The sequence below is a fragment of the Homo sapiens genome, chromosome X, assembly GCF_000001405.40.
Source record: "Homo sapiens chromosome X, GRCh38.p14 Primary Assembly".
Classification (NCBI taxonomy): domain Eukaryota; kingdom Metazoa; phylum Chordata; class Mammalia; order Primates; family Hominidae; genus Homo; species Homo sapiens.
Window position 1 is genome coordinate 32474066 of NC_000023.11, and position 15554 is coordinate 32489619.

The 15554-nt window shown below is 34.4% G+C and overlaps 1 protein-coding gene across 17 annotated transcripts in view; it reads right to left on the reverse strand.

Annotated features, from left to right (window-relative positions):
• DMD (dystrophin) overlaps nt 1–15554 on the reverse strand; it is a 2220167-nt gene that overhangs the window by 1354844 nt on the left and 849769 nt on the right. For all 17 annotated transcript variants that reach the window (XM_006724469.4, NM_000109.4, XM_011545467.2 and 14 more), the window contains 1 exon segment: nt 10854–11034. In XM_006724469.4, the coding sequence (XP_006724532.1) occupies nt 10854–11034 (181 nt within the window).

Here is a 15554-nt window from a genome sequence, read left to right on the forward strand (position 1 = left end):
AGAACATACAATGTTTGGTTTTCCATTCCTGAGTTACTTCACTTAGAATAATAGTCTCCAATCTCATTCAGGTCACTGCAAATGCTGTTAATTCATTCATTTTTATGACTGAGTAGTATTCCATCATATATACATACATACATACACACACACACACACACACACACACACTCACCACAGTTTCTTTAACCACTCATTCAGTGATGGGCATTTGGATTGGTTCCACGATTGTGCTGGTGTGAACTGTGCTGCTATAAACATGCATGTGCAAGTATCTTTTTTGAATAATGACTTTTTTTCCTCTGGGTAGATACCCAGTAATGGGATTGCTGGATCGAGTGGTAGTTCTACTTTTAGTTAAGGAATCTCCACACTCTTTTCCATAGTGGCTGTACTTGTTTAAATCCCCATCAGCAGTGTAGAAGTGTTACCTGATCACCACATCCACGCAAACATGTACTTTTTAAAATTTTTTTGATTATGGTCATTCTTGCAAGAGTAAGGTGGTATCACATGGTGGTTTTGATTTGCATTTCCCTGATCATTCATAATGTTAGCATTTTTTCATAAGTTTGTTGACCATTTGTATATCTCCTTTTGAGAACTGTCTATTCATGTCCTTAGCCCACTTTTTGATGGGATTGTATTTTTCTTACTGATTTGAGTTTGTTGTAGATTCTGGATATTAGTCCTTTGTCAGATGTATAGATTGTGAAGATTTTATCCCACTCCATGGGTTGCCTGTTTGCTGTGCTGATTGTTCCTTTTGCTGTGCAAAAGCTTTTTAATTTAAATTAGGTACCAGCTATTTATCTTTGTTTTTATTACATTTGCTTTTGGGTTCCTGGTCATGAAATCCTTGCCTAAGCCAATGTCTAGAAAGTTTTTTCCAATGTTATCTTCTAGAATTTTTATAGTTTCAGGTCTTAGGTTTAAGTCTTTAAACCATCTTTAGTTGGTTTTTGTATAATGTGAGAGATGAGGAGCCAATTTCAGTCTCCCACATGTGGCTAGCCAATTATCCCAGCACCATTTGATGAAAAGGGTGTCCTTTCTTTACTGTATGTTTTTGTTTGCTTTGTTGAAGATCAGTTTGTGTAAGTATTTTGGTTTATTTCTGGGTTCTCTATTCTGTTCTGTTGGTCTATGTGCCTATATTTATACCAGTACCATGCTGTTTTGGTGACTATGGCCTTATAGTATAGTTTGAAATCAGGTAGTGTGATGCCTCCAGATTTGTTCTTTTTGCTTAGTCTTGCTTTGGCTGTGCAGGCTCCTTTTTGGTTCCATATTAATTTTAGAATTTTTTTTCTAATTCTGTGAAGAATGATGCTGTTATTTTGATGGGGATTGCACTGAATTTGTAGATTGCCTTTGGCAGTATGGTCATTTTCACAATACTGATTGTACCCATCCACGACTATGGGATGTGTTTTCATTTGTTTGTGTCATCTATGATTTCTTTCAGCAGTGTTTGGTAGTTTTCCTTGGAGAGGTCTTTCGACTCCTTGGTTAGGTATATTCCTAAGTTTTTTGTTGTTGTTGTTGTTATTTTATTTTATTTTTTGCAGCTATTGTAAAAGGGGTTGAGTTCTTAATTTGATTCTCTGCTTGGTCGTTGTTGGTATACAGAAGAGCTACTGATTTTTGTACATTAATCTTGTATCTGGAAATGTTGCTGAATTATTTTATCAGTTCTAGAAACTTTCTGGAGGAATCCTTAGGGTTTTGAAGGTAAATGATCATATAGTCGGCAAACACTGACAGTTTGACTTCCTCTTTACCGATTTGGATGCCCTTTATTTCTTTCTCTTGTCTGACTGCTCTGGCTAGGACTTCTAGTACTATGCTGAAGAGGAGTGGCAAGAGTGGCATATGCATTTATTTGAATTCTAGATGATTATTAATAAACAAAATCCAAAAGGGACCTTATAAATAGCAGTGAAGTAAAGAGGTATTTAGTTACAATGAAGCAAATGATTGTGTCTGAGATGTCATTTCAGCAAATGATCTAGAAGGAGAGGGGACTATGGGCAGACACATGGCGGTATGTTGGATGAATCATAAGCTTCATAAAATTTGGTTTAATTGAACTTGAACATGTCTCCTCTTTAACTTCTTTCTGGTCTTTCTGTTTAATGAAAACTGAAACACTTCAGTCTCTGAATTATTGATCTTTTTCTGTATAACTTCTGATCTGTCCAACAACTGAATCTCACAGGAATCACTTCATATTGGTAAACTATAATTAAAACATGCATATTTTAATTCCTCCTTGCATTCCAACCCTCATCCTAGTTTTGTATTAAATTCATTTGAAACTGGTCATTTCAAAAAATCTAATCTCTTGGAAATTCTTTTGTAGCTTTAAGAAATAAACTTCCAAAGATTGGTTTGGGAACTTGTCCATCTAATATAGTTTGTGAGGCAAGCTGGAAAAAAAAATACACACCTACTAACATAAATATCACAATTTCTTTTTCTGATTTTCTTATGTGGAATGTAATGACACTATGTAATGACAGCAGTAATTGCTATCAAGGTTCAGGAAATGCTTGACAAATTTGCAACGGTATAGAGTATCTCATTTAAACCATGCAGGCCAGGGAATGCCAGTGAAGAATTCTAAATCTGTTTCAGATAAGAAGAAAGAAAAAGTCTTATACAGAAGCTAATGTACCCAAGGGCAAACACAGTATGAGCTGCCCCACCTACTAGCTGGTGAGATATCTGTAGATGCTGCCCTTGTGATCCCAACATAGGAGCAGAAATAGACCAGCTCCATCTACGGAAACTCACTTTTTTTCCTTTTATGTAGAAATAGAGATTAATAATCCAACAGATAAGTTTATCTTTACTGACAGCAATAAGACAATAAACATATCCAATCTAATAACCTACCATCTTAAAAGACCTCGAGAGTTCTACTGACATCATTAGACTCAGCACAGACTCAGGAAAAATATGGCCTGAAGATTTAACGTTTAGCCAATATATTGCTTATAAATATGTAACTTTTTTCTCTAAAGAAAGTATTCCTATGACAGTTTCTACTATTCGGCTGCTAAAGGACCACTTTAAAAATGCAGATATCTTTTTGGTTTTATTAGTGAAATATATTCAACAAAATGAAAATCAATATAAGTGATTGCAAGCTTGGAAGCACGTGCTGTAAATTATTGGGAAAATAAAAATTAAGGGCTCCTATCCTGCACTACTGTTTATCTTGAAAAGTAAAAAAAAAAATTCCATTAATATCTAGACATTTAATATAGCCATGTGAGGGATGGAAGTGATAAAGTATAGGCAAACTGACATCTAAAATTATAGTAAAGGAATACAAAAAAGAAGTTTTCTGCACCTTTTGTTTAAAAACTGCTTGTCTTTAACTCTTAAAAGAGGGAGGGGCTAAAGGGAAAAGAAGAGAGAAAAAAGGAGAGCAAAGGACAGACCAAGAGAGGCAAAGCAAGATTCTTTTGTGATAACAAAAGAGCTAAGTATGAAATTAGATGCTACATTTTCTAATACACATGAGTCTATGTCAAGGGCAAACCACTTTAACTGGAAAGCAAAGTAAACAGAGAAGTATATTGAAAATTCTGAGAGACATAACTATCGAGATAAAGAGATACCAGAGCAATCGGTTATATATAACACTTTACTGAAAAAAAAAATCTCTCCTCTTGAAAAATAGAACTACTCAGAAAATAGGCACTTAAGCATCAGAGAATGTACAATAGAGAGAAGGAAGACGTAACTGTGCCAACCAATAAGGTAGCAACTGGCTACCCGTCCGTTAAGCACTTGAAACGTGGCCAGTTTGAGTTGAGATGTTTTGTATATATAAAGACACACCAGATATTGGACAGTTCATACAAAAAGAATGTAAAGCTATTTCCACATTTTAAAATTTTAATTCTAAGATGAAACAATATTTTCAAATGACTTTTACCTGTTGATCTGTTAATGTGGTTTCTAGAACATTTAAAATTAAATATATGGCTCACATTATTTTTCTGTTGGATAGTGCTTAGATAGAAGCTGGAAAAGGCACCCATGTAATCCATTTAGGGGGAGAAAGAGATGATATGTTAGTAGTCTTAATATTGACAGCATTTAAAAACATTAGAAGTCCTGTTGTGAATATGAAATCGAGTCCAATTTGAATTCCCCATTATTACCTGTGGGGAAAAAAATGCACTGCACATGTGTGAAGAAGCTGAACTAATGACATATACCTACTTCGGCAAAATGCTCAACTTGAGCCTTTAATTCCATGCCAACCAGATCCCACCTTTTTCCTCATTCCCCATGATCAATCTAAAGTCAAGGAGATAATGCAATCAGCAAAGGCTCCAAACTTTATTAAATAACATAGACCATGACAAAAGTAAGCATTTCTCTAAAATGTGAACACTGACAAAGGTGTCAAGAAATACAACAGGACCCATGCATGATATATGATGATTAACATACTAGGAATGGTCCTTCAGATAATTACAAGTGCAAGGAAGTCTGAGTATAACTTGAATTTCTAATGTCAATATATAAGTTGTTTCCTTAGTTTGAAATACAAGGATCTTTGTGATTGGGAATTCAATCAACATTTTAGCCCAATTTCCTATCAAAATCAATATTCTATCCTCCAGTCAAAATATGCCTTTTAATTACTTCACGCCTTTTTGCTTATGCAACTTGCTCTGCTGAAAGTCGCTGCTGCTCAGGCTCCATTCTCACAAAGGGCACTTGGTGTGGTCTGACATGAGTGAAATAGATGGGTTTATAGGAATTTTATCTAAGATCACCATAGAATTTGTTTTATAAGTCATAAAACTCCAATGAACCAACTGAAATTGGGGTCATTTTCATAAATACTGCTCTATTATTCACCTCCTGGACAACTGATTTATTTTCCAGGTAAGTCTCATTTTTCTGACCAACTTTGTGTAAGTATAAACTACCACACTACAGAAATATTTATTAGAATTTAAGAGTTTTTTTCTTTTGCTGAATTTTCCCTTTTTCTAAAAGCAGCTCTATCCACTTAGCAATCCTATTTTCAAAATATCATGTTAAACTATTTCATATTTAACTAACAAATAATAATTATGTGTATTTATGGGGTATCATGTGATGTTTTGATCTATGTATGCATTGTAAAATATTCACTCAGGTTAATTAACATATTAATCACCTCACCAACTTATCTTTTTTTGTGATGCGGATATTAAAATCTATTCTTTTACCAATTTTGAAACATAGATTTTTATTAACTGTGTCCACCACGCAGTACTAGAGATCGCTACAATTTATTCCTCCAGTCTAACTGAAACTTTCTATCATTTGATCAACACCTTCCCTTTCCCAACCTTCCTCTTCCCCCCAGTCTCTGGTAACTACCTTTCTATTTTCTGTTTCTATAATTTGACTTTTTTTTGGATTTCTCATATAAGTGAGATCATACAGTATTTGTCTTTCTTTGCCTGGCTCATTTCAGCTAGCCTAATGTCCGCCAGTTCTATCTACATGGTGGCAAATGACAGAAATTCCTTCCTTTTAAAGACTGTATAGTATTCCATTGCATATATATATCATATATAGACACTGGAATATATTTATCACTATATATATATGTCACTATATATATCAGTATATATATCTCTATATATCAGTATATATAAATCACTATATATATCTACCACTATGCATATATCACTATATATATCACATTTTCTTTATCCATTCGTCCTGTAATAGACATTTAGGTTGTTTCCGTATCTTGGCTGTTATGAATAATGCTCAAATGGATATGGCATGGGCAACAAAAGCAAAAATAGACAAATTAGATTGCATCAAACTAAAAAGCTCCTGCACAGGAAAGGAAACTATTAACAGAGTGAAGAGGCAGCTCACAGATCAAGAGAAAATATTTGCAAACCAAATATCTGGTAAGGAGTTAATATCCAAAATATATAGAAACCTCAAAAAACTCAACAGCAAGAAAACAAATAACCTGATTTAAAAATGGGCAAGGGATATGAACAGACATTTCTCGCAATAAGAGGCACCAATGGCCAACAGATATGTGAAAAAATGCTCAACATCTCTAAACATCAGAAAAATGTGAAAACCACAATGATGTGTCACCTTACACATGTTAAAATTAGAACGGCTACTTTCAAAATGATGAAAGATAAATGTTGGAGAGGCTGTGGAGAAAAGTACACTTACACATTGTTGGTGGGAATGTAAATTAGTACAGCCATTTTGGAAAATAGTATGAGGTTCCTGTCACATAAATTTTATAAATGTGTGTGTGTGTGTGTGTGTGTGTGTATATGTCTACATGTGTATATACACAGTATGTGTCTATGTGTGTACATACACAGTATGTGTCTACGTGTGTACATACACAGTATGTGTCTACGTGTTTATATACACAGAATGTGTCTACGTGTGTATATACACAGTATGTGTCTACGTGTGTATATACACAATATTTGCCTACGTGAGTATTTACACAGTATGTGTCTGTGTGTGTACATACACAGTATGTGTATATATGTACATACGTATATGCACACACAACTTGTGTACATATACGTATATGTACACACAGCGTGTGTATATATATATGTATAGCTTTAACTTGGCATTTAGCGAGTTTTCCCATGATTCTTGAGGTCAGGGAACAATTCTTTTATCTCACAATAAGCACATAGCTTGCTTAAATAAACATGTCTGCTATGCTTGCTCTTGATGGTATTGATAAAAATAACACAATTTTTAAAAGGAACATTTACAAACAGTTTACCTAGTTTCTGGAGTGAAGGAGCAATGCAACAGATTATGTGTCTACTGGAACAAAACATTCCTTTGCCTAGATGTATTAAAAATAAAATTTTAAAATAAAAAATTTAAAATTTTAATAAAGTAAATTAGGTCAATTTCCTGAACTGCAGCTAGAAGAGTTACCTCACATCAAACTTTGTTTTAATTCCCAGTCTCAGCATCCTAACAGGGAGGGGTAGAGACTAACCATAGAGCTTGAAATTGTGGCCATGGAGAGCATCCTTGCTGGCTACCCTTAAAATTTTCTTCTACTGTCTCTGTAAGAGGTAAAAGTTATTTTCTTTCAATTCTGGCAAGAATATCTTCTGTGCTACACCTCCCCAGATCATCACCTCTTCAAGGGTTGAAATGATTTTTCTTTATCTTATCACAACTGTAGTTTAAGGTTCAATGGACTCTCCTCTGTGTGGCTATTCTTTCCACAAGTCTTCCTGCTTCTCCTCAGACTTGTATTGCATTTCTTCTTCACATACCAGCTAGAGGGTGAGTTTTGAAAAAATACAACTAAGGGTACTTAATTTCCTCAATTGAAATTCTTTCGGAAATGTCTACTGCTCTTAAAATCCAAACCTGTTATAGAAGTTCTATAAGAGCAATTCTACCCTCATCTTGTCCTAATCTTTCATTGATTTGTTACATTCCAGCCTTTCTGGCCTCCCTTATGTCTTCTGGACATGCCAAGCCCTCATTCTTCACCTTTGGCAATTTGTGTTTCTTTTCATTTCTCCTAATGTCCTTTCTCCAACTTATCATATAGCTGGCACCTGCACATTCTCCAGGTTTGGTTCTAACATCATCTCCCCAGAATCACGGTTTCAGACGCCAAAGTAATTATAATCTGCAATAATATTCAGATATTCAATTTTATTATCTTTCTTTCAATAAGCTCCATGAAGACATATTGCTCTTGATTTTCTCCACCATGTATATTACCTAGTGCCCAGCACTTTTACGGCATATACCAGGTGTTCAAAAATATTTCTTGAATTTATTAGTGAAAAAGTGAGCAAGACTCTGTTCTGAAAGCAATCTAATGGTGTAGAACAGAAGAGAATCATTTTGAAACTTTAGAACAGTCAAAACACTGGCTTTGTCATAACTAATAATGTCACTTTCTCCATTTTTGCAAAACTAAACCAAACCAATAAAATCCCTAATAATTATTTTAACATGATTTCCAAATTGTTAATGAAATAAACTCAAATTATATGACCAATCTTTTTCCTTCTTTACATTAAGAAATAAGGTTTCATTTTTTTCTTTGTTGAAACAATTATCTACAACAGACTAGATGCTGTGTTTCTATATTCATCTAGCATATAACATGAGTTTACTGGTTTTCAGTCTCTAGAAAAGTATTTTATCAACTGTCATGGGAAACAATTCCACCCCCTCATCCTCCCAGACCTAGGCAACCACTAATCTTATTTCTGCCTGTACAGATTTGCCTATTGTGGCCATTTTATATCAAGAGACTCATATAACATATGATCTTTTGTGACTGGCTTCTTTCACTCAGCATAATGTCTTCAAGGGTACTCCATGCTGTAGCATGTATCAGTACTTTCTCCCTTTTTATTGCTCAGTAACACTGCCTTGTATGGATGTGCCCATTTTCTTCATATAGTCATCACTGGATGGACATGTGGGTTTCTTCTACGTTTTGGCTATTATGAATAATGTTGTTATGGACATTCGTGTATACGATCTAGTTCTTACAGCATCCCATATCCATGCTTTTAGTTATTCAAACCCCATTAGCTTACTTGTGATATAGTTGTAATAACAAATACTCAATGTGTTTCTCTCTGAGGGTTAGGTAAAATGATGTATAAATTAGTTATGCATAGAGTAAAAAGTGCTTTGAAAATAGAATTTTATCTTTTTATATTATTTTCTTCTATCACTTATGTCAGGTAACAACTACCAATTCCTTATGCCATTTTCCAACACTGATAGTATATTTTAAAAGCCAGGTTTTTGTGTGAAAAAGCAAGTTTAAAAAAGTAAAGAGGAAATAAAAGTCAGTATGGATGCCTAGGCACTTCTGTTAGCTCTTATTTCCTGCATACTTAATACGTCCAAAGTACTGTGGAGGAATACAAGAAATGAGATTTACTCCCTGGTGCCAGTTCGGATATAATGCATACACATGTGCAATTATTTGAATTAATTTCAAATTAACAAAATCAACTGCTATGTAATTTCATATGCTACATTTTTCATTCCATATATATATATATATATACACCATATTTAATTAAAGGGTTATTTATTAATCTAGACAAGCATTCCAAAAGGGTGAATAGTAAAATTAAAGATGTGTAGCTACAGTGGAAGTGGGGACAATTTGTTTACATATAATAGCAGTGAAAAAGTTAGGAAGTTTTATAAACAATCATCGTTTGTAGGTATGAAATTTAAAAAAGAGAAGAAAGATGATAGGGATGGATGGATGGATGGAGAGCTGTATGAATAGAGACTATATATTATTACGTATTTATATTGTAACATCATAGACAAATCTCAGTTATCAAACATTGCTATTCTGAACATCTTTAAAGTAAATGATAAAAAGTTGAACTTTAATATGATTAAGAGGTATATACAGATTAAAGTAAATTTCCAGTGAAATGGCTCCTTTGCACAACAATTGCTGCATAGCCACTAAATGTATTTAACTTTAAGGGGGAGTTATGTATGTAATGACAAGTGAAAATACATTATTGTTAAATATGTCAATATTTGAAAATCTAGGACATTTAAAATATTTTCCCAAATTGATTTTGCAGAGGCACAGTAACAAGTATACTGAAATCCACTAGAGGGAGCTGATACTATTTATAAAGTTTTACTACCTGTACAGGAAAATAAACCCCTTAGCAAAAACGACTCTGAAGTACAAAAAAAAAAAAAAAAAAAAAAAGTATTTATCCTTTGCTTTATTTAGCTCATTTCATTTTTGTAAAAAATGAAAAGCTGGGAAATGAGAAAAGCGTTGTGTATCACTACATTAATTCTGGAAATGATATTATATGGTGAATTCTTTAAATATTTACAAAGAAAAGCAATAGGATAATATATTTTCCAACTAATTTAAGTTTTAGTAGTAAACAAACACATGTTCCTGTGCTTCTCATGACAAATTTGGGACAGAGATTTTTTCAGAAAAATACTTTTATCTTAATGCCTTCAAACCCGATTTTACTCAATAATTCCTTTTGTGTGCACATGAACACATATATGCATGTATATAGTGAATCAAAACCCCATTTACTATTTCTTAAAGGTGGTCATTCATCTGTCTCTGAAAAGAATTTTTGTCTTAAAACTAAGTTGATGAGTAGAGATATTTTGGAGCAGATACTATGTATTAACATCATCTTATTAAAGCAATTCAGGAAGAGACAAAAGAAACATCTTGAAAAATTTGCTAGTCGCATGGCATGAATTTGCATAATTGCTCCACTTTTATCTTTTATCATCAAAGGAAAAAATAGGATTTATGTAATTATAGTGATCCAGTAGTAAAATGTAGCCCAAAGAATAATTTGTCCTTTGCTGAGTTTCAGTTGCCACATGTATGCTAAAGCTATAATACTCTTCAGATAAATTGACAGAAATATTAGAAGATGCCTAGCAAATATCCTTGTATATACAGCGAGCCAGACTTAATTGAAGTGTATTCATATGACCTCAACTGCTCTTTTATTTTCTTCTATATTCAAAACATCTGATTTTGAAATCTACAATCCCCCAAGGAGAAGCTATTCCCATACAAAACATGTTTTGTTTCTCAAAGTCACAAAATTATTATGAGGACAAAAAAATCTACAGACAGCTTATCTGTTACACCAGTATTTCGTTCCTTGTTAATACAGGTTGTAGGGAGAATGGTTCCATTTACAGAAATTATTGTTTCATGTTAGTACCTTCTGGATTTCCCCACAAATAACCATTTTGGAAAATGTCAAGTTAGCCATTTTAGGCTTTTTACTTACTTGTCTGTAGCTCTTTCTCTCTGGCCTGCACATCAGAAAAGACTTGCTTAAAATGATTTGTAAAGGCCACAAAGTCTGCATCCAGGAACATGGGTCCTTGTCCTTTCTCTTTCAGGGCTATGCTTTGAATTTTTAATCGTTCAATTTGAGGTTGAAGATCTGATAGCCGGTTGACTTCATCCTGTGCCATAGAGTATGGAAAGTAAGTAACACGTTTACTTTGCATACATTACATTTTGCAAAAGAAGGTATTAAAAAGCAGTAAGGCAAGTTTAGCTTAATACCCTTCACAAATATCTGATAAGAAACATCCATGACAGTATAGACAAGCCTCTATCACCAGCCATACATTTAAGGATACCTTGGCTCTTTGTTCAATATGTATCATCCTATATAATGATATTTAAATTTCAAGATGACATAATTTAGAGCATTAATGGGTATGAATGCGTACAGTGGAAAAATACTATGCATGACCTTAAATCCTTTCCATAAATCAAATATAGGTGTTTGGCTGCACCCCTCTTATATCAAAATGATGTGCGCTTGCTTCAAATTTTAAGCTCACTCAATGAACAATATTTTCTCTTTCATTTCTGCAAAATATAAATTACATATATACCTACATATATGTATATGTGTATACTATAATTATAAATATATTTTGATACAATTATATAGATTATATACACACATATAAAATCTATATAATACTTATACATATGTATGTACACACCCAAATATAAAAATATATCTATAATCTTCTATGTTTTGTATGGTCTCATTACTTCTCCTGACCAAACAGGCAACCACTGCTTTTTTTTTTTTTTTTTTTTTTTTTTGGGACAGAGTCTCGCTCTTGTTGCCCAGGCTGGAGTGCAATGACGCGATCTTGGCCAAATGCAACCTTCACATTCCAGGTTCAAGCGATTCTTCTGCCTCAGCCTCCTGAGTAGCTGGGATTACAGGTGCCCGCTACCGTGTCCAGCAAATTTTTTTTATTTTTAGTAGAGATGGAGTTTCACTGTTGGCCAGGCTGGTCTCAAACTGCTGACCTCATGATCCACCCACCTTGGCCTCCCAAAGTGCTGGGATTACAGGTGTGAGCCACCGCGCCCAGCCAATTGCCACTTTTTAAATTACGGTGGCTGTCCAGGTTTCCTCTTGTTGTCCTGGCATAATTATTAGTAGCACCCTGTTTCACTCTCAGTAGTACCCTGGTTTGTATGATAAAATCACATGAACACTGCTGTACTGTCACTAGCTCATGTGGCAACTGGGCACCTGAAATGTGGCTGGTCCAAATTTAGATGCATGAAATTACCAAAATATGTTTAATTCTGAAGATTAAGAAAAGCTAAGAACATAATCTCAAAGTTTTTAAATACTGATTACACTTTCAAATAATATTTTTGATGAATCAGGTTAAATAAAATGTACTATTGAAATTCAATTACCGTTTCTTTTTCCTTTCCTAATATAGTTTCTAGACCATTTTAAATTACATATGTGGCTTGAATTTGTGGCTAGCACTGTATTTCTTTTGGACAATGACTTTCTTCACAGAATTGGAAAAAACTACTTTAAAGTTCATATGGAACCAAAAAAGAGCCCGCATCGCCAAGTCAATCCTAAGCCAACAGGACAAAGCTGGAGGCATCACACTACCTGACTTCAAACTATACTACAAGGCTACAGTAACCAAAACAGCATGGTACTGGTACCAAAACAGAGATATAGATCAATGGAACAGAACAGAGCCCTCAGAAATAACGCCGCATACCTACAACTATCTGATCTTTGACAAACCTGACAAAAACAAGCAATGGGGAAAGGATTCCCTATTTAATAAATGGTGCTGGGAAAACTGGCTAGCCATATGTAGAAAGCTGAAACTGGATCCCTTCCTTACAACTTATACAAAAATCAATTCAAGATGGATTAAAGATTTAAACGTTAGACCTAAAACCATAAAAACCCTAGAAGAAAACCTAGGCAATACCATTCAGGGCATAGGCATGGGCAAGGACTTCATGTCCAAAACACCAAAAGCAATGGCAACAAAAGACAAATTGACAAATGGGATCTAATTAAACTAAAGAGCTTCTGCACAGCAAAAGAAACTACCATCAGAGTGAACAGGCAACCTACAAAATGGGAGAAAATTTTTGCAACCTACTCATCTGACAAAGGGCTAATATCCAGAATCTACAACGAACTCAAAAAAATTTACAAGAAAAAAACAAACAACCCCATCAAAAAGTGGGCGAAGGGCATGCTATTCTCTACATAAATGTTTTCATGTTCTTGTTTCCAGTGAAGTTGGAATTGTTTCGTATTTAATACATATATAATTTGAACTCAAAGTTTTCACTGCCCTTTTTAAAAGTGTTATTATCATGGCTGCTTACTTACAATTCATATATATGCTGTCTTTAGAAAAAAATACTTGAGGGTTAGTTACTATTTAATATGTAACAACAGGAAAATTGAAATTTAAAAATTGGAACATGAGCCCATTAGAAGAAAGAGAAAATGGAAAGAATTATACCAATTCTGAACGAATTGAAATCTGAGCTTCCTGAAAATCAAAGTGAAAAGGCAAAAAAAAAGTTAATATTTATGGAGGCATTCATACTCTTTGGGAGAGAGTAACTTTTGTATTAGGAGAGGCTGAGAAATTTATCACATAAATTCTGTCATGGTTGCAAGACTAATGTACAATGCCACTTATTCTCATTAAAAAAACATAAATACAGCTTTCAGAGGAATGTGTTTATGTGGTTATAATGGTATGAGCTGATTCAGGTAAAATAATCTCTGACGATTCAATCGTTTTGGTGGGTGAAGATTAAAGACGTTTAGCAAAATGGAAGGTGACCTATATTTCTCTTTCAAATATAAATCCTCTCAAACCAGTGCTAGAAAGTTGGTATATATCCATGGATAAGAAATAAGACAAGAGGTAAAGGGTAATATTCTGTATTTATAGTACAGAAATATATACAAATAATTTGTATGCTAGATTTACAAATGGCAGCATTGGCATCTACTGTGAACCATTAAGAACCTGATTTATATTTGGCCAGATGGAGGGCTGCCATTTTTCCCGTTCAGGGGGCTATAGAAAGAGCCAACATTATAGCCAAGTGTGCTCTGAAAAACAAAGGGGACTTTGAAACTAATAAAACATTTGGGCAAATGTTCAGTTGAGACCTTAATGTTCTGAGAATAAATCATAGAAGAGATACTTTTCAACTGAAGTATTCTGTGTTTAAAAAGATGTGAACAATTAGCCATTATTTCCATAAAAGGATTTGGTTTAGTTGGTCCTCCAGAGTATGGTATCTCCTTTGAGTCTGTTTATTCTTTAAAATTATATGCTTATCTCATGGAAGCTTTTGTATTTTTCACAGGAAAGGGTTCATGAATTTTTTCCAATTCTGATAAGGCTCTCTAACCCCCACAATATTAAAAACCAGTTCTGCCGATCATTAGAATATGAGCTAAATATGCGCTCTAATGTTATAAAACTTCTCCAAATAAAATAAAACGCTGAGAAACATGTTATAATTTATTTACCTATCACTAATCTCAGCAGAACAGTATATATATTTGCCCTTGTATGAATAATATTAAGCTTATCTTGCTAAATATTTTACCTAAAGTGATTCTTCAAATTAATAGACACCAATGGGTCTGAGAGAAAGAGTAAGGGGTGATAAGGAGGTGACAACGGAATTTGGATGCAGTAAGAGAAGTATTTTCCCTTAGGATGACTTCCTCAACCTCCAGACAATATTTAATATATAAAACCTCTGGTGATCTCCATTTGTTCCTCAAATCAAGACCAAGATACTAGCAGGTCCCAGAAGTCATTGGTTTGTCTCCTATATACCTGACTGATTCCTGTTTGTCTCTCCTCTCATTCATCTGCCCCTCTATGTTCAGCATTTACAATGGTCTTCATTCAGGTGCTTGGCCTTTATTGCTCCCTCTTGCCATGTTCCTTCTGCCTGGAATCTTGCTTAACTGTTCTCTTACCTAATTCTAACTTATCACAAAAGTCTCAACTCAAATGTTCCTCCCTCAAGGAAGATGCCCTTGGTGGCTGTATCAGGTTCGTTTTTCCCTGTTACTCATTCTCCCAAAGCTTTGCATCTTAGTTTAAACCACTGTTCCTAGCAGGAAATTTAAAAATATTGATTCCATTGTTTCATATCTCTCTTCTCTGCTTTCCGTAAATACAATAAAAGCAGAGTCCATGAATGCCCACTCTAATATTCCCAAAACTTAGTGCTATGGGCTGAATTGTGTCTTCCAAAATTCACATGTTGAAGTCCTAACCATTGGTGAGACTATTTGGTGATAGGACTTTTAAGAGGTAATGATGTTTATATGACGTCATCAGGGTTGGGTAAGGGTGGCGGGGTGGGGGGCTAATCCCTTAGGGATTGGTGGCTTTATAAAAGGAGGCAGAGATAAAGAGAGAGAGAAAGAAAAATAGCCCTCATTCTCTCTCTCTGCATGTATACACACAGAGGAAAGCCATGTGAGGACAGAGTGAGAAGTTGGTTATCTGCAAGCCAGGAAGACAGCCTTCACCAGAAGATGAAGCTGAACCCTACCAAACCTTGATCCTGGACTTTCTCTCACTTCTAGAACTCTCAGAAAATAAACCTGTGTTGTTTAAGCCACCGA